Genomic DNA, 21,074 nt, shown 5'->3' on the forward strand with positions numbered 1-21,074 from the left:
TCTGGGCTCTAGGCAGACTGTAGTTCTGGCTCTGCCAACTCTCCTGGAAGTTCTCTGTGTCAACTCAATTGCCTGTGGAGATTGTGGGGCCTCCTATAGCTAGCATCCCACAGGTCTGTGGCAAGAGTGGGCCACTCTATGTCTGTTTTACTCACCACTTCTCTTGGAGCCAGTTGGGGCCAGGAATGAGTCTTGGTGTTAGGCAACTTGATTGGGAGTTCCCAGTTTTCTACACTGTCAGCCCCCGGCTGTGAATCCTCCCTGTATCCACTCTCAATGCCTTCTTTCTGAAGATCTGTTTGGAGTATGCTGACCTACTTGATGGTCTTGTCTCTCTTGGTGCAAGAAGCTCTTCCTGTCTGTCTAGTCAGCCACCTTGGCTCTCTGATCTCTAGGTTAAATATTAAAGCCTAGAAAATGTTACCAAATTTGGCCCAAACAGTACAAAAGCTATTAAGGCACTCACTATAGAATGAATTAAAATAGTAAGCAGAATACTTTATGTTAATGACATAAATACTAGATAGTTTCAAGATCATTTCTATTGAGTCTTCAAACAATAAATCATTTGTGTCTTGTGAAGTGTGATTCATGAGAAGTGAAGAAGGAGGAGGAGGAACAGAAACATTATTTCATTCAATTTATAAAACTACGATAGTCATATCAAAACAAGACAAGGACATCAGGAGAATTTAAAAACCTTTGTTCTAGTCTTATTACAAATATTAGCAAATTTAAACCATAGTGTATGAAAAGAATACAAGACAAGAATTCAAAATTTTAAAAATATTACTCATAACCTTCTATAAATGCAGAAAAAAGCAGTTATTAAAAGTGTATACCCATTTGTGTTTTTTTAAAAAAAACAAAGAAACAATTAAAAATCTCATTTTAAGCTATCAATATTTGGTGCTTTAAAAAAATCTAATAAAGGGTATCAACTGAAAATAAATAGAAAAAAATATATATATATATACTCTGTTGTAAAACACTAGAATTATTCCCATTTATATAAAGGTGGGACAAAGATAACAACTATTACTTATATTTTCCAGCATTGTATTGTTGGTGTTCCTGGCTAATGCAACAAGTTGACAGACATGAGTTAGGAGACAAAGACTTCTAAGAGGAGACGAGGTGGTGTTCTTTGAAGGTATGATAGTTTATCCATAAAGCTCAAGATAATCAACTGATAAAATATTAGAACTAATGAGAAAGTTCAGCAAGGTTGCTGAATACAATAACAACGTAAATGTAGGTAGTATCTACAGATATCAATAATATATAATTAGAAAATGTAATAGAAAATATATTCCACTCACAGTAGTAATAAAACTATAAAATTCATTGGAATAAAACTAAACAGAAACAAGAATATAGAAAGAACTTTTCAAATATATAATCAAAGGGAAAAGTCTGAGCAAGTAGAGCTCTAACCCATGTTTTTGCGTGGGAGAATTTATTCACGTAAGAATGCTATTATTGCCAAATAAAGCAATAAATTCCATACCATCCAAAGGCTCATGATTTTGCACAGGAGTGGAAAGATTTATTCCACAAAAGCATTATCTTATAAATAATGTGACCATATGTCATGATTTATTTGAAATAGTTCAAAATTATGCCTAGCAACTTGTAATTATTATTAGCATCCACATATTTATAAGAATAAAGATTAATTGGAAGAAAAAGCGTAAGAAGACTTTTTCCTTCTGCTTCTTAGCTTTCCCACTTGCAAGTTGTGTGAGCTTGCTACCTAAGTTATAAGTTACTCAAGCTCTCTGTTCCTCAGTTTCCTTACCTCCGAAGTAGGGATAATAACATCTACATCATATATTGTTCTAAGGTCAAATAGAGATAATACGTGTAAAGCACTTAGAACGCTGACTGACTCAACAAATGTTAATTATTATGAACAGAGTAGTATTTTATTCTGTCTCAAATCATATTATAAAGAACTGGTAATTAAAATTAAAGCATAGGCATAAGAAAAGACAAATAATGGGGAAGGATGAAAAAACAAACACACATTCGTATGTGTGAATCTATGTAAATAGGGTAGTGTCATTAAACACTGGGGAAAAACTAAATACTTCAATCAATAGTATTAAAACATTTGACTTCCCATTTAGGAAAAAAATCTAGTTAAACTCCTACTCACCCCATACATACAAATATATTTCAGATGAGATAAAGAACATAAATTAAAAACAACAAAAATAAAAATTATTGGAGAACTTAATAGAACTTGGTCATAAATTTAGAGCAGGTAGGATTTTCTTAGAAAAGATACACACAAATATACAGACAAATATGTGAGTAAAAATAAACAGAAAAGCTGGAGGTATATATATATAATTCCTAAAATCTATGGAACAAGTGCCTCTTAGAGTTAAAATTTTAGCATTTTATTGGGAGAAAATATTTGCATTATACATAACAAAGAATTAGTATGCAGCATATATAAATATGTTTTTAAAAATATGGTTGAAAATACAAAAACCTAACTTTTAAAAGAACAATTTATAGGAAAGGATATTTAAATGGCTAATACACATGTAAAAATTGCTCAATGTCACTGATAATCAGACAATTGCAAATTAAAGCAAAACAAGACACTGTTTGCACACATCAGATTGGCAAAAAATGAAAAGCTTGATGATATCAAATGTTGGCAAGGATCCAGGGAAGCACATACTTGCATATGCTGCTGATGAAGTTATGCTTTATTATAGTCCCTCTAGAAGGTAATTTGACAATGTTATGAAATCTGAAAATGTGCACTTCATATGACCTAGAGATTCCATTATTTTTCCACATATCTAAAAATACCTGACCTGTATATTCAGAAATCTGTATTACAGCTCGTTGGTGATAGTAAATAATTGAAAGCAGCTAAAACATTCACCAATAGAGGAATAGAGTGTGTACTTATCTCTCAACTCACCAAGTTGTTTACATTAAATATGGACAGCTTTCTGTATGTCAGTTACACCTTAGTAGTTTCAAAATTTTAATCCAAATGTAATCCTATATATATATGTGTATATATGTATACATATGTATGTATATTTATGTGTGTGTGTGTGCTGTCTTATTTCTACGTTCTCTATTCTGTTCCATTGGTCTGTGTGTCTGTTTTTGTACCAGTACCACGTTGTTTTGGTTAATGTAACCCTGTAAATATAATTTGAAGTCGGGTAGCATGATGCCTCCAGTTTTGTTCTTTTTGCTTAAGATTGCCTTGGCTATTTGAGCTCTTTTTTGGTTCCATATGAATTTTACAATTGTTCTCTCTAGTTCTGTGAAGAATGTCAACATTCTAAAATCTATAAATTGAATCTATAAATTGCTTTGGGCAGTATGGCCATTTTAATGATATTGATTCTTTCTATCCATGAACATGGAATGTTTTTCCATTTTTTTTGTGTCATCTCTGATTTCTTTGAGCAATGGTTAGTAGTTCTCCTTGTAGAGATCTTTCACCTCCCTAATTAGCTGTATTCTGAGGTATTATATTTTACTCTTTTTGTGGTAATTGTGAATGGGAGTTCATTCCTGATTTGGCTCTTGACTGGTGTTGTTATATAGGAATGCTAGTGATTTTTGCATATTAATTTTGTATTTTGAGACTTTGAGGAAGTTGTTTTTCAGCTTAATAAGCTTTCTGGCTGAGACTGTGGGGTTTTCTAAATATAGGATCATGTCATCTGCAAACAGGGATAGTTTGACTTCCTATTTAGATGCCTTTATTTCTTTCTCTTGCCTGCATAATTCAGTATATTAAAAGGGCAATGCATCATGACCAAATAAGGTTTATCCCAGAAATCTAAGATTAGTCTAACCTTTGAAAATCTGTCCATGTAATTTACCATATTAGCAAACTAAAACAAACAAAAATAAAAATACCTTAATAATCTCAGAAATCACATTTGACAAGATCTATCATCCATTCCTGATAAAAAAAAATTATCAGCAAACTGGGAATAGAAGGGGACTTCCCAACCTGATGAAGGGCATCTGTGAAAACCTTACAGTTTTCATACTTAATGGTGAAAGAATGAATGCTTCCCCCTAAGATCAGGAATAAAACAAAGATTTTCCTTCCCACCACATCTATCAGCATTGTATTGGCAGTCCTATTCTATACCATCAGGTAAAGAAAAGTAATATAATGTATACAGACTAGGAAGGAGGAAGTAAAACTGTCTTTGTTTTCATATATGATTATCTATTTAGAAAATCTAATGTAATCTATGAAAAACCTACTAAAATTATAAATTAGCAAGCTTACAGAATATATGGTCAACATAATGACATAATTATGAATACCTATGTACTCAACCCCTCCAACCCAAGAACTAGACTATTCCAAGTAACTTACATCTAGTGTGTGCTTCTCCCTTATTCGATTACCATGCTTTAAAAACATTTCAATATTTCATATATATATTATATTTCATGGATGCATAATATAGATAAAGGAATGAGAAAAAATTAGAGTGTTAGAATATATATCCACTTAGTAAGAGATAAGAATGAGGATTAAGTTTGAGAGATGCTTTATCTATATCTGTTATTCTAATATTTTTAAGGGCAGTGAATTTATAGTTCAATTGTTTTAATATTTTTAAGTACAAACTTAAAAAAAAAGACTTGAGGTAAATATTCCAAAGTGCTTATTATTGGTTGAGTTTCAGCAGCGTTAATATTAATGGATTTCTTTTCTTTTTTTACTACTTTCTGTTATTTGTTTCTATACCTTAATATGTTATTTAATTTTCTAGAAACAAAAAGTAAATTGATTTATTTGGGATTATGAATGAGAAGTTCTTGTGTACAGTGATTTGAAGGAGTAATAAGAAACCTTCCATATTATCACATGTGGAGATATTAAGATCTATTGGAAAACAAATTCACTGTACATGTGTAACACATTTCAATTGATGAGTATATATCAATTTATAACCCGTATTTCAAGTATTTTAGTTATAACTGAGAGTAAGAACTTTTTTTTTTACTTCATGCTATTGCTGTGGAAGAAATCATGTCAAAACTCAGTGGCTTAAAACAATAGTCATCATTATTCTAACCCACACATCTATGGTTTGGTGGGGGATTGACACACTAGGCTGAGCTCAGCTAATCTCAGATTGATTCATTCATTTGTTTGTAATTCAACTGGCTTATTTATGTGTCTGCAAGTCTGCCAGGGCTCTGCTCTAATGTGGGTTTGTGTGATGCACTGTAGCTGCTCCACACGTGTCTCATCCTTATCCAGAGACCAGCATACAGGCCCAGATATGACCTTCTCATGGCCATGGCAGAAATGGCAGAGGGTAAGTGGAAACGTGCAAGACCTCTTAATAATGTGTGAATAACTGTGGCATACTCTCAGTGTGGATTGGCTATGATATTTTTGATGTGCCAGGCAATGTGCTACACACTTTATATACATTATTCATTTACTTCTCTATCCAGTCTTATGAAGGACTACTATTATCGCAATTATACAGGGAAGGAAACAGGATTACATGGACACTTGTCCAAGGTTATTGAGTTATTAAGCTGGAAAACCTGAAATCTGAACTTGAGCCTTAGATTTTAGCCAAGGAACAAAGGTACCTAGACAAGCACTTAAAATTGCCATGGCTAGTATTTTTGTCATGCATACTATTTTTGTCATGAATAATATTAAAATACATTGTAAAATAGTACTTTGGTATATCATATGATTTGCTAAGCTTAATATTCTCTATATCAACATTTGTCCAGCAAGATTTCGAGAGCAATACTTTGTATGATGGGTGAAGAAGAAATGCAGTTTGCCTAATTTGCAGATGTGGAGACGTCATTACTTTTTTTCTTTTAACAAACAAAGCACCATTTAATTTTTCTTTCAAAGTGCTTTAAATATGTTGAAGTCAATTATTTATGTGTTAGATTCTGATATTTGTATATCTGATTTAATTTTTAGAACAGTTCAGTAATTTGATAACCAATGATTCAGACCATTGTATCTGTACACATCCATTAAGCACTCCTTTCTCAAACTTTATTGACTTTTTCATTACAACCTTTGAAAGTTACTGGAACATAGCAGAAACTCAAGCTTCATCTATGTGGACTCTTATGTTGTTCCAGAGGTTTCATATAAGTATCAAGACATGGTAGGGGCATTTAGTTTTCACTATTATGTTTCTAAACTCTCATCAAATGAGCTAGTCATCATCTGATTTGGTCCTTGTCCAACTGCCTACACATGCACTTGCAGAAGTGCTCCTTTTTGCCCAATTGCTTTAATCTCTCTATTACCCTGTCATCCTTAGGTACACAGGAAATGCTAAGACAGTGTCTAAGGCATCTGCTTTAGCCATCCTTCCATCTATTTAATTATTTGGGACCATACCACCTTTCCAACCACTACACAGGCTATAGGAAAAATATATTTTTGTTTTTGGATTTCCAAAACCAAAACTAGGGATTTTGCCAGTTCTCCAAGACACAGCCCAGGGAGCATTGACTAGCAACATCTCCCTGGGAACCTCTGAAGTCTAAGCTCTCACCACTTCTCCAACTCTCCTGACTTTTCGAACTCAACCCTTCCATTTTCTTGTTTGAGTCTCTCTGTTCTTCTAAAGTGCTAGGCTTTTGAAATCTTGAAGCTAAGAAGTAAGGTCTCCACTTCTCTCCTGTCTATCACTTTTCTGAGTCAATCAGCACTGAATGCCTTAGCTGCTGCTAGAATGCTTAAAGGTTGTAGGAGAAGGGAAAATCTAAGACTGCATAAGAGGGGAATACTAGGGATTGTAAAAAAGTAATTTGTTTTCTAAATATCAGGCCTCATTTCTTTGTATTATCTAGACTATCTGGCTTTCAGGAGGTACATCTTTAAAAGAAAGAAATTGGACTAATTGGTTTTTCAAGTTGAGCTCTGGGGAACCTAAAGGGATTTGGCTGGTAGCAGAGCTCCCCTCTACCTCTTTTCAACTAATATACCTCTCCTTGCTTTGATCCTTTTACACACTGAGCTTGGTAAACAATTTTCCTTTAAATAAATGTTTCTAAAATGTTTGAAACCCATTCCATTCGACTTTAATACTCTGTGAATAACATGACAGTTGGTAATATAGACCCTTGCCTATTGTCCCTACTGGCCTGCAGTCTCTCCTCATTCCCCAAGTGCATTGGTGTCTGTTTGCAGGAAATACATTTCTTTTTTCTATTCTATTCTTTTCTTTTCTTTTCTTTTCTTTCTTTCTCTTTCTCTCTTTCTTTCTTCCTTTCTTTCTCCTTTCTTTCTTCCTTTCTCTTTTTTCTTTCTTTCTTTCTTTCTTTTCTTTCTTTCTTTTCTTTCTTTCTTCTTTCTTTGACAGCATATCACTTTGTTGCCTAGGCTGGTGGCGCCATCGTGGCTCACTGTAGCCTCAATCCACCGCCCACCCCTGCCCACCCGGGCTTAAGCAATCTTCCCACCTCACCCTCCCAAGTAGCTGGGACCACAGCCATGCACCACCATGTCCAGCTTTGTTTGTTTGCTTGTTTGTTTGTTGCTGTTTGTAGTGACAAGGTTTCCCTATGTTGCCCAGGCTGGTTTTGAACTCCTGGGCTCTGGCGATCCTCCCACCTTGGCCTCTTAAAGTTCTGGGATTACAGGTGCCCTCAGAGAATAAGGTTTGATTGATGGGAGGAAGAAAAGAGAAGCACACATTTGGACCCCACAGGTCCATTGACTTTGCAGAAATATGGTCCAAGGCAGAAGGTGATGGAACTACTTGAATGATCCTATGAATTTCTGAATATAAGAGGATTCCAAAGCCCTAGACGATCCAATATGGCACAGAGCAGAGCCCTACTGGCCCTGAGCTCTGTAAGGAACCTAGCACCATCCTGGTACCACAAGGAATAGAAGCTTTGGGGGCATTCAGATATTGTCCTTGGCATGAATATTATTCTCATGACAGGCATGATAGGCATATCTGTTCAGATAGGAACCAAAGAAGCCAGAGAAAAGAAAAAGAACAGGAAATGTTCTGTGGTCACTGCCACTGACTCACTGGGTTGTAAACACTTTTTGAGGATTTCTAGAAATAACAGGAGGATACCTGGGAGAAGACACTGAGGTTTTTGTATTACTAATGTAGGCTCTATTTATCTAGGATGCATTTAGCCATTATATTACTGTCTGCAAAGCAAATAATGCTGAAGAAAGTTTTTCTAATCTAGAAAGAAGCATACATTCACACAAATTCCACTCTAATTATTATCTTTATTTATGTAGTAGGACAATTTCCAGCTGAAGAAGTGATCCACCTGAGTAAGCATTTCCATGGTGTTCCTTTTATATCTGAGTTAGAGTTCTGGTTTTGTTCCCAGCCTTACCTCTGACTCATCATTGTGAAACCAAGAAATCATTTAGCCTCTCAGCACCTCAAAATCTTTCTTCTGTGAATGAGGATAATGGGTAAACCTTTTCTTGCTTCACTGAATTGTTGTGAAGTTTAATTAGATAATGTTTACACAGTCCTTTGAACTCTACTAATTAAAGTGATGTGTAAATATGGCGCTTCCTTTTATCAGGATGGCTTGACTGAGCCATTTCATGAAGAGTTACAGATGACTATGATAGGAGTATCCATAGGGAAGTGATTAATTTTTTTTAATTCATGTAAACTCAATTCTGAGATTATCAAATACACATATGAAAATATCCAGTTGCGGCTGTAATTAGGGAGAATAAGGATATAGCCTCCCACTAGCTGAAGAGCTAATGGTCACACCTTCACATTAGGGAAAGCTTAGCTCCTAGGGTGTAGACTAGTGCTCTGTTTGCTTTAGGTATTGCTATCATTTTTTTCTATGTTACCTTTATTCGGTATTTTTTTGCCTAGGCAACATTGGTGATTTATTTTATATTTGTCATATAATGAATCACAAAATAGCATATTTACAATCCCTTGATGAGAAAGACATAAGCTTTAAAGTAGTGTGAATCTATATAGATGATCCATTGGTTCATTTACTTATCAAAGAGATTTTCACCTGAAACAGAAAAATCTTAGATAAATCAGAAATCTTCTTACTAAGTTTCCCAAGGAGACTGTTTTACTCTAATATTATCATCTCAATTACTTTTGAAATTCTGCATTAGTAAGAAACCCTTTCTTTTGCCAGAAATAAGTTGATAAAAGGATTAATTAGCTTGGGGGGAAAAAACACAAGTTTTTCTCCATAAGCCTTCTTTGTGCGTTAGTGTATAATTATCTTTGTTAGACAGAATTTTCTAAATGATAATATTATAGGTATGTAACAATTCAATTTCATATGCTACTGAATGACTCAGAATTTGGAGTTAATATAGTTTATTGAAAACTCAGATAACTAATATGGGAGTTTTGAAAACTGCTAAATATCATAATGGGAGTTTACAGCAGGAAATGTTTCTATAAAATCTAGTAGCTTGTTTTTTATACTTGTAATGCATAACAAATACATTATATATAATAATAAATAATGTATAAATAATGTATGAATAAATTATGTCTACTTTCATTACCTATGTACTTCAGGGATATGTCTGCTGATGGACCAGCATAACATAAAAGCACTTTGAACTGTTTGAAACTTCAAATTCAGAGTCTGATTTTCTATCTTCTGAAATATATTTTCTGCCTCAAATCCTCACCAGTATGATATGAGTAGAATTACACAGAAATTTGAAATTATTTAGGTCCAGGCGGAAGACTTGTCAAAAGTGTGATAGTGCCTTAGTAAACTCTAAGGCATAATAGCAGAGGTGTATTATTTGATATTTCCAGAAGAAGGCAGATAAGTATAGATTATTTTGATCCAAGGAGACACTAAAGAAAACAAAATACAGATCTAAAACTGTAAAACATGTAGCCTTAGGATGCACAAAGATAAAATAGAATTCAAATTTGCTACCATGGAGAATAAATATTCTATTTACGGACCTAAGGTCCTGAATGAATCTGTATCCCTACACAATGGGGTTTTTAGGTATTCTTTTTTTAAATAGAAAGATAAAGGTTAGTTTTAGTCATTAGCTAGTGGTTTTCTTTTTGTCCAAAATTCATTTTATTTTTTTCTTTTTATTATTATTATTATTATACTTTAACTTCTAGAGTACATGTGCACAACATGCAGGTTTGTTACGTATGTATACATGTGCCATGTGGGTGTGCTGCACCCATTAACTCGTCATTTAACATTAGGTATATCTCATAATGTTTTCCCTCCCCCCTTCCCTCACCCCACAACAGGCCCCGGTGTGCGATGTTCCCCTTCCTGTGTCCAAGTGTTCTCATTGTTCAATTCCCACCTATGAGTGAGAACATGCAGTGTTTGGTTTTTTGTTCTTGCAACAGTTTGCTGAGAATGATGGTTTCCAGCTTCATCCATGTCCCTACAAAGGACATGAACTCATCATTTTTTATGGCTACATAGTATTCCATGGTGTATATGTGCCACATTTTCTTAATCCAGTCTATCATTAATGGACATTTGGGTTGGTTCCAAGTCTTTGCTATTGTGAGTAGTGCCGCAATAAACATACATCTGCATGTGTCTTTATAGCAGCATGATTTATAATCCTTTGGGTATATACCCAGTAATGGGACGGCTGAGTCAAATGGTATTTCTAGTTCTAGATACCTGAGGAATAGCCACACTGTCTTCCACAGTGGTTGAACTAGTTTACAGTCCCACCAACAGTGTCAAAGTGTTCCTATTTCTCCACATCCTCTCCAGCACCTGTTGTTTCCTGACTTTTTAATGATTGCCATTCTAACTGGTGTGAGATGGTATCTCATTGTGGTTTTGATTTGCATTTCTCTGATGGCCAGTGAGGATGAGCATTTTTTCATGTGTCTGTTGGCTGCATAAATGTCTTCTTTTGAGAAGTGTCTGTTCATATCCTTCGCCCACTTGTTGATGGGGTTGTTTGTTTTTTTCTTGTAAATTTGTCTGAGTTATTTGTAGATTCTGAATATTAGCCCTTTGTCAGATGAGTAGACTGCAAAAATATTCTCCCATTCTGTAGGTTGCCTGTTCACTCTAATTGTAGTTTCTTTTGCTGTGCAGAAGCTCTTTAGTTTAATTAGATTCCATTTGTCAATTTGGCTTTTATTGCCATTGCTTTTGGTGTTTTAGACATGAAGTCCTTGCCCATGCCTATGCCTTGAATGGTATTACCTAGGTTTTCTTCTAGAGTTTTTATGGTTTTAGGTCTAATATTTAAGTCTTTAATCCATCTTGAATTAATTTTTGTATAAGGTGTAAGGAAGGGATCCAGTTTCAGCTTTCTACATATGGCTAGCCAGTTTTCCCAGCACCATTTATTAAATAGGGAATCCTTTCCCCATTTCTTGTTTTTGTCACGTTTGTCAAAGATCTGATGGTTGTAGATGTGTGGTATTATTTCTGAGGGCTCTGTTCTGTTCCATTGGTCTATATCTCTATTTTGGTACCAGTACCATGCTGTTTTGGTTACTGTAGCCTTGTAGTATAGTTTGAAGTCAGGTAGCATGATGCCTCCAGCTTGTTCTTTTGGCTTAGGATTGTCTTGGCAGTGCGGGCTCTTTTTTGGTTCCATATGAACTTTAAAGTAGTTTTTTCCAATTCTGTGAAGAAAGTCATTGGTAGCTTGATGGGGATGGCATTGAATCTATAAATTACCTTGGGCAGTATGGCCATTTTCACAATATTGATTCTTCCTATCCATGAGCATGGAATGTTCTTTCATTTGTTTGTATCCTCTTTTATTTCATTGAGCAGTGGTTTGTAGTTGTCCTTGAAGAGGTCTTTCACATCCCTTGTAAGTTGGATTCCTAGGTATTTTATTCTCTTTGAAGTATAGCTAGTAGTTTTAAGAGGGTATTATGTAAGTTCAGACAGAAGTCAATCTGAAGCTGGATAGATGTAGCCCCAATAATGTTGATGATAATACCAAAGTTTTACCCACAAAAATTCTGGCATCGCTTTGATATCTTCAATTTGGGCTTGATTTGGATACAAAGGTATTGGTAAGTCTACGTCGCTATCGAAACTAGCTATGAATAGGGCATCCTAAGGGATTTTAAGAAAGAGATAAATCAGGACATCATTTAATCTGGCAACTCCCCTTTCAGAGTATCAAATTAACAGGTGTGGGATCACGGAGGAGGAAAGACTGTATTTCTGTTCTAAGCCTGGACATAAGGAATGTTTAGGAGTTATTGGAAATGCCCACCACCTGCATAGTATGTTTATTCCAAGGGGACTGTTGAATAAGAATAGAAGAGTTTAAGGCTAATATGGTCATACCTATATCAATCAAAAGGTTGTTCTTTTAACATTATAAGAAATTTCTCCTTGTGAATTTAAGGGTAAAATGAGAAACTGGGCATTTGATTTCCTTTAAAGCACTTCCATTTTTACATCCTTCATTTTTTCCCTTTATTTTTAATATATTAACTTTTTTGTCAGTGTTCTTTCTGTTTACAGTATCTGCAACTGGCTTTACCGAGTAACTCCCTGTTCAGGGAGTGTTTAATGATTGGTAATACCGGATTGTTTTATCTGTAGGGGCCTGAATTTGATTTAAGACTTATTTGATTTTTGTGCCAAGTCCCTTTCAAAATGTTCAACAGGGTGCTAGAGGTCTGGCAATAGGCTGTTTCCCGTTTCTGCTTTTTCTTGTGTTTTAACTCTTTTATTTCTGGCTTAAGGTCATTCACAAGAAAATGAGCAGAAAGTGAGGCTTCATCTGAATCAGTGTTTACTTCTGAATTCTGTCAAAAGGTGTCAAATAACCTATCCTTGAACTCCCTAATGAACTTATTCTTTCTTTGCTTATAGGACTGAATCAGAGTCCAATCTATGTTTACAGGAAAGATTTGGGGGATAGCTTCCAAAAGACATTCAAAATCTACAGCTTGCAAAATCCCTCTGATTTCTTATGCAATTAGGAATCTTTGTATTACGCCTTTTTATCCAGTTCTTTTGTATCTGAGCATATGAAGTAATAGATATCGATTTGAGGAGTATGGGTTTTACATTCCTAAAACTATTCCTGATGTCCCTGCAAATTTTATCGTGGTGAGGCTTTGGGTACATTTTAATAATGGCTTTTAGCTCAGAATGAGATGAAGTCTTAAAATTAACAATAAGAGTTTTTTTCTGTTCTGACAGGGGCTTAACTTTATAAAATAATGCACTTTAGGAGTTTCTGGACAGCCAGAAGAAAGGGGGAACAAGTCAGAAGGAGATGGAGAAACACTCTGGGAGAAGAAGAATAATAGGATAAAGGCCATTAAGTTTGTGTTGAAGTTTGAAGGAATCTAAAAGAGATTAAGTATTTCACTTTTATTTTTTTGCCTCAACAAAGGAATCTTTTAAGGGAATAATTTTGAAGTCTGAATAATTTTGAATACTTCCTCAAACACATTAACAATGCAAATCATTGGACGTTTGAAATTTTATTCCTTTATGTTCTAAGGCACCTCTCAAATGTACACTTCTGTTCATATCAAAACGCCTTGAAAATGTCTATTATAATTCTAAATTATCTTTAGTGAAACTAAGCCATTTAGAAAGATAATAAATATAAGAATTTGTGTTATGGTACAAATACATGTACAAAGAAAGAGTCTGTCAGAGGGGGAATGGTCTTCGGTTTAAACTGAGCCAAGTCCAGCAGAGTCTAGGAACTATCAGGTGAAAGTACTGCTGTGTACCTCCTGCCTCAGCCCCCCATGGCCTGATGGCTGGGCCTTCTCCAGGTGCAAACCTCACACGTGCAGTTTTCACAGATAGTAAAGTTTGGAGAGATTTCACGAGACAGACTGGGAAAAGCACTCATAAGATTTTGGTAAGTGACCTCAGGCAAAATTTTTCCAGAGTTTTCCATAGTTCAGAGGAACTTTCTGAATTTCTCAGTCCTCAAGAACAGTTTGATTTTTTTTTTCTTTTTTCAAGTAGAGATGGGGTTTCACCATGTTGGCCAGGCTGGTCTCAAACTCCTGACCTCAAGTGATACACCTCCTTCAGCTTCCCAAAGTGCTGGGATTACAGGCATAAGCCACTACACCCAGCCTGTCAAAATCAGTTTGAGGATGGATTTATCTGGTTTATACCCATTCCCTTTCTGTGAACTTTGCTTTTATAGAGATACAAAAAAATGATAGGGATAGAGATATATAGTGTAGTTAATAATAAAACTGATTTCTACCAAGGATAAAAGTTATTCAAATCTGGTCAATCAAAGGATTCCTTAAAAAGGGCTTCTTATTCATAGAAGACAAAATAAATGCAGTTCATGGGGAACTTTAAATAACAAAATGTATAAGAGGTCAGACTCAATGTGAGCCATACCTCATTGTAACAGTAGGAGAGACCAACAACTCCTTATCCTAGCAGGAAGTTCAAAATGCCACAAGGCACTCCTGCTTTTTGACTCAAGTCTTGGATCATTTACAACAGAAGTTCTTGACTAGATCTTTGTGGATCTTTAAGATTATTGAATGCTGGTTCCCCAAAAATATCACCGAAACAATTCAATGATATGACAAATCTTAGTTTATGGTTACTGTAGCATGGGTGAGAACTGCATTGACAGAGCCTTAGTAGCAGTGGTATGCTGAAGCTTGCTCCACCAGCCTGTGAGATTGATTCTGAGCATCTCTTCCCCAATCCATGTTCAGTGAGGTCACATTAGTAGCTTGAAGTCAGCCATGGTAGGACTATTTATGTTGTAGAAATCATCAAATTCTACACATCAGAGATAGTTTTTCTCCTGGAGAGCCAGTTAAACTTAGTAACATGTTAGGGTGTGGGGGCAAAGTTGAAATATTTATAAGATGTTAGAGTTTGTTTCAAAGCAAGTCTTTATTTTTTAATTTTTCTACTTTAAGTTCCAGGATACATGTGCAGAATGTGCAGGTTTATTACATAGGTATCCGTATGCCATGGTGGTTTGCTGCACCTATCAACGCATCACCTAGGTTTTAAGCCCTGCATAGGTTAGCTATTTGTCCTGATGCTCACCCCACCCCCAACAGGCCCCAATGTCTGTTGTTGCCTTTCCTGTGTCCATGTGTTCTCATTGTTCAACTCCCACTTATGAATGAGAACATGCGGTGTTTGGTTTTCTGTTCCTGTGCTAGTTTGCTGAGGATAATGGCTTCCAGCTTCATCCATGTCCCTGCAAAGGACATGATCTCGTTCCCTTTTGTGGCTGCATAGTATTCCACAGTGTATATTTACCACATTTTCTTTATCCAGTCCATCATTGATGGGCATTTGGTTTGGTTCCAAGTCTTTGTTATTGTAAATAGCGCTGCGATAAATATATGTGTGCATGTGTCTTTATGATAGAATGATTTATAATCCCTTGGATATATACCCAGTAATGGGATTGCTGGGTCAAATGGTATTTCTGATTCTAGATCCTTGAGGAATCACCACACTGTCTTCCACAATGGTTGAACTAATTTATATTCCCACTAATAATATAAAAGGGTTCCTATTTCTCCACTGCCTCACCAGCATGTTGCTTCTTGACTTTTTAGTAATTGCCTTTCTGCCTGGTGTGAGATGGTATCTCATTCTGCTTTTGATTTGCGTTTCTCTAATGATCAGTGATGTTGAGCTTTTTTTTTTTATGTGTATGTTGGCCACATAAATGTCTTCTTTTGAGGAGCACCTGTTCATATCCTTTGCCCACTTTTTGATGGGGTTGTTTGTTCTTTTCTTGTAAATTTTTTAAAATTCCTTGTAAATTCTGGATATTAGACCTTTGTCATATGGTAGATTGCAAAAATTTTCTCCTATTCTGTATGTTGCCTGTTCACTCTGATGATAGTTTCTTTTGCTGTGCAGAAGCACTTTAGTTTATTTACATCCCATTTGTCGTTTTTAGCTTTTGTTGCAATTGCTTTTGGTGATTTCATTGTAAGTCTTTGTCCATGCCTATGTCCTGAGTGGTATTGCAAAGCAAGTCTTTTAACATGCCTTATGGAGGCTTGCTTAGAATTGGATGATTATAATATGAAAGTTTAGGATTGGTGGATACAAAGAGAGGGTTTTGAAGCAAGGGTTTCAAAACATTCTACAGAATCAGCTGTTTGATGCTACCTACTGAAACATCAAAAGATTTGATATTCATTAAATGAGTTTTTCTTAAGTTCATGCGACAAAATCACTTTCATCTTTCATCTTTCTGAGCAAGAGTTTCCTGGAGTAAGAAAGTTATGTAGATGAGGACAGCTGAATAATAAAATAATGTTAATATTACAGCTTTTAATATATAAGCTATGTGAGCATAGATGGTTTTGGTTCTCACATATAATGCTTGAGCCCTCAAATTATGTATAAAAATTAAGGATTGGTTCTATGGAATTATGATAGCAACAACAGAAAAAGTAAAGCTCATAGGAATAATTCACTTGAAATCATTCATTTTCAACTCTAACAAAAAGAAAAATATCCGGACTGTGCATCCTAATGGTATATGTCTTTTATTTATCTAATATTTAAATCGATTTTGATTCTGTTTTATCCAATGACAAGAATTTATATTGCATTTGTATACTTGGGGAATTAAACACATCAAGTCTAAGAACTTTCTTTCCAATATCTATAAAAATACACTGATTGAGCAACTATATGCTTCCGATCATTTGCCTCTGCAAGACAGCAGTGTAAGTAGACTACTTAGTGTATTTAGCGTAACTAAAATAGAGATTTTGTATGTTTGTCATAATTCCAACCATTAAATATAATTTATATAATTATCTTCTTAAGTAGAATGAATGATAGAGTCAAAGGTCAACACAACTTCAGAAATGAATTACTTGGGGAAAGAAAGAGGATTTTTTTTTTAATTTGAAAGGACAAAGGAGAATGTTTAAATCATAGAATTGAAAGGCATAACTAATACAGAAGTTTGTAAGTCTGGCAGAAGCTTAGAGAAGACCTAGATGCTTCTGCAGTCCAAACACCATGAGGACAGCATGGAGGAGCAAAATGGGTCCCAGTACCTCTATTGCTTGCATAAGAATGGTGAGACAGAACACTCACACAAATCAGCCAAAGCAGATTTTTTTTTTTTTTTCACAGATATGCAGCAAGAATAAACAGAAGCCTAGAATCCTTGGTGAGCCAGCTTCCCAAGGCTCAGGAAACTGCTGAGGGCGAATGGAGTCTTATCTGTGCTTGCCCCATTGTGACACAGCTGAGGGAACTCAATACACCCTAGATACCACTTGAATTGCTGAGCTGAAGCACTGAGGAACATCCCGTTCTAAGAGGGAGGAGGACATAGCCTAGGTTGTACCCAACACTTTCTCTTTATCTCAAGATGCCCCATTGTAGTTACTAGGATGCCCCATTCTAGAACTACAATGGGATAAAGAGAAAGTCACTGTTAAGTGGCAGGGGAAAGAGCTGGGGCAGCCAAGGTCATCTGGGGATTTGTCCTCCTACAACTAACCTTCCCAGTTCAATCCCTTCTTTATTTTGAATATTGCTAATAAGGAATAAGGACAATATACAGTTTCTCTTTGTGGTATATTATATTATCCTTAGAATATTCTTTATACTGAGCTAAAAGATACTCCCTCCCTTTGTGTTTTTTCCTTTCTTCTCTCCAAAACCATATAGAGTAAAATCTTCCTGATTTGCAGTTTAACATATTGAAGAAACTACTATAGTTATTGGGGTTTTCTCGTTTTGTTTTTAGGTGTATGCATTTGTTTGTTTGTTTGTTTGTTTGTTTGTTTCTGAGATAGGTAGCCTAGGTTCATTTAACCATTCCTCTAGTGCAGAGGGTTTCACTGTGTGGTCAGTGCACTGGTGATGGTCTGTGACTATTTCTTACCCTCTGCACATATGTTATAGGTCTGCAAGAAGATAGGGAGCTTGCACCAAACTATAAATCAACACACCACTTATTTCACTGAAAAATTCTTGCTACAAAAAAAAATAAAGTTAGCTGAATTAAACTGTGTTTATTGAGATAGTTGCTTTATGTTGTAGCACAAGATTTTATCTTATTGCAGATCACTAATAAGGAATTGAACCAGCTAGTTTGATAGCAAGTGATAAGAATTTGACATGATTTCTAGACTGATTCTAACCATTCTTCCCTAGACCAGCCTCCGAAGTACAACCAACTATTCCAGAGAGTTTGCTAAAAATATATTGGAAAATATTACATCCTTGTATCTGGAGACCATCTTAGTTTTGTATTGAGTTTTTAATCAAGTACAGCACTTCATGAGAATTATACATTTGTTCCCATTCAGATTCTTCTTGATACTTAGAATCCGTCATTCCAAAATTACAACCCAGTAACCATTCTGTCCAATTTGATGTCATTTGCAATATGGGCTATGTAGCTACTGGTATGTTAAAAAACAAAACAAACAACTACCTTTAAAAAAAATTTTTCCTGAGTCCATGGTTCAGCTGATCAGTTATTGTGACCTTGACTCACTCATTTCTGATGAACTTTCTGGGGCCCGATCAAGCATCTGCCATCACTGGTTGTTGGCAGGGGGCTGATCAGTCTATTATGGCCTCAGCTAAAGTGACTCAGCTTTCCTCTATGGTTCTTGTATCCTTCAGTAGGCTAGCTTGAGCTTGTTTTCATGGCCATGACGTGGTTCCAAGAGAGATAAGAAGCACACAAGACCTTTGTAAGGATCAGTCCCACCGCTGGCCTAGAGTAAAGCAGAAAAAAGGTGAAAATGCATCTGGAGGAGAACAAAGATAAAACCATCACAATGCCAATGTGTCCTTCCAAATTATTCATTAAAAATTTGAACATGGTATTGACAAATGCTTTTCACAGAAGACCTCAATAGACCTTACAAATGCATTGGTCGACAGTTTTCTAATATGTTATTTAGCTACCTATGACTCTACCAATAGATGCTTTCATCTAACCTACATTTTTCCATTCATAACAGTTCAGTGAAAAGTTTTCTAAAATTTGATGCTGTAATTAAGAAATTACCTATCGTTTTCTGAACACAAATGACCATCACTGTATTATTTATAATAGCAAAATATTAGAAACACTGCAGGAATGAATACATTTTTATGGTAATCCATACAATTAATTAGTTCATATGGCTCCTAATTTTCAAATGAAATGGGAAAATGCTCACATTTTAATTTAATGACAGAGTGGTAAGATACATAGTGAGACACAACATTAAGGAAATACAGGTTTCATATTTTATATTTAATATATAAATATTTTGAAATCCGAGAAAGAAATACACTAAAAATACTAATACTTATTTTCTTTGGATAGTAAGATAACAGTGATTTTTATTTTCATGTTAAATTTTTATATATTTTCCAAATTTTCTACAGTGGATATATAAAGCGTCATTATCCAAAACAGACAAATATTTAAAGTTTTTTTCCATTTTGTAATTTTCCTGGGAATTAAAATCAAGCTCACACTTTCCTCTATTTTGAAAATTTTGCCATTTGTTCATTGCCATTTAATATTCTCTGAGATGTTATAATAATCAGAGGGAGATTGGGATCTTTGCCATTAGCATAGTAGCTGGACTGTAATAACTATTTTATGAATATTTTTATCTTGAACTTTTTTCTGCAGCTATACTCAATGTATGTCTTCTTTTTCTATTGGATGCCAAGAAGAAACAGGATTTTATGACTATCTGGAGCAATGCATAGTACCTATGTCAGAACCAATAAAAAAGATAAGTTCTATATCACAGGATAGGAAAGCAAGGGAAAAATATATCTCAAACATTGGTGACTCTTCTGTTACATCATTATGAGACTAAGGAAGCTATCCTACAGCTATATCTATGTTGACACTGACCATTTGTTTATAGCCTTTAAACTCTTGCTAGCAGTAAAAATCATGTTACAAGGTGACATTTAAGCCACCCGTAATGCTTAAATGGATAGTACAGGTGCTAGAATGTCTCTAACAATGCAGTGGATAGGCTTTTCCTGCAAGAGATCTAGAATACGAATGTGAGAACATCACCTACCGACACCATGTCCACTAGAAGCATTGTGATAGAATAATAAAGATGATCACAGAGTCTTTGATTCTCCTCCCATTGAGAAGTGGAGTCTCTGTTCCTCCTCGTGATCTGAGTGGACTGTGTTACTTCTTGACCAATAGTATATGACAGAAGTGACATTATGCTGGTTTCCCAGTCCAAGCATTAAGAGGCTGGTAACTAATACTTCTTGTCTCCTGGAACACTCACTCTTGGAAGCCAGCTGCCAAGCTGTGAGAAACCAAGCCCCATGAAGAGTTCATGCATATGTGTTCCAGTTGACAGCCTTAGCTATGCTCCCAGCCAATCACAAGCATCCACTGCAACCATGTGAGTGAGTCCTTTTAGCCTGGTCATGTCTTTAGATGACTCTAGCTTCAGACACTATCTGACTCCAATTACATGAAAGATCCTAAGCCAGATGCATCCAGATGAACTCAGTCAACCCACAGAACCATAAGACATAATAATAAATTGTTGCTTTAATCTATTAAATTTGTGATTGGATTGTTCAATGTTTTTTTTTTTTAAAAAACTGGAACATTAACCATTGTTAGCTGGTACTGTTGTATTTGAAACAAAATTTGAAAATAATTGCAGGAAATAGATGGTTGCATAAGATCTCTGTATAATGTTGCATAAGACCAATAGTGAGGAGAGCTTACTATACATGACACCTTTCAGAATCATATACGGACATCGTGATTCAAAGAAACCAAGAAAAAATAAAAAGAAAGCTCAAGGTAGCACTTAGCACTGCACATTTGGAGTTGATGAGATGCCATTATGAGTATGGCACTTTACTGTTTATGACAACCCTGGGGAATATGAATTATTATTATCTTCATTCTTTCTTTCCCCCTCCCTTCCTTTCTATCTCTCTCCCTTCCTCCCTCCCTTCCTCCCTTTTTTCTTTCCCTCCTTCCGATTTCCAAGTTGCTTTCACTGTGCTCCACTCCACCACACCTCAGCAGGAGCCTGTCTCATGTCCGCAGTCTCCCCATGCCATTCATAGTA

At 35.5% G+C, this 21,074-nt stretch overlaps 1 protein-coding gene and 1 long non-coding RNA gene across 16 annotated transcripts in view; one reads left to right on the top strand and one right to left on the bottom strand.

Moving 5' to 3' along the window:
- MTHFD2L (methylenetetrahydrofolate dehydrogenase (NADP+ dependent) 2 like) overlaps positions 1-21,074 on the top strand; it is a 188,540-nt gene that overhangs the window by 145,497 nt on the left and 21,969 nt on the right. For 2 of the 14 annotated variants that reach the window (NR_147097.2, XM_047415710.1), the window contains one exon: positions 1,056-1,153. The exons of 11 other annotated variants lie outside the window; for them this stretch is intronic. Coding sequence is in view for 2 of the 3 variants with exons in the window: in XM_047415710.1 (XP_047271666.1) it covers positions 1,056-1,126 (71 nt within the window). In the remaining variant the exon portion in view is untranslated. Of the gene's footprint in view, positions 1-1,055; positions 1,154-5,251; positions 5,323-21,074 lie in introns of those variants that run through there. One more of the 14 variants, XM_047415711.1, reaches the window with a different exon arrangement.
- The window catches only part of LOC105377276 (uncharacterized), an 87,048-nt gene continuing 84,211 nt past the window's right edge, over positions 18,238-21,074 (bottom strand). For both annotated transcript variants that reach the window (NR_188415.1, NR_188416.1), the window contains one exon: positions 18,238-18,722. This is a non-coding gene — a long non-coding RNA (uncharacterized LOC105377276). The remainder of the gene's footprint in view (positions 18,723-21,074) is intronic.

This window comes from Homo sapiens, chromosome 4 (assembly GCF_000001405.40).
Source record: "Homo sapiens chromosome 4, GRCh38.p14 Primary Assembly".
NCBI lineage: Eukaryota > Metazoa > Chordata > Mammalia > Primates > Hominidae > Homo > Homo sapiens.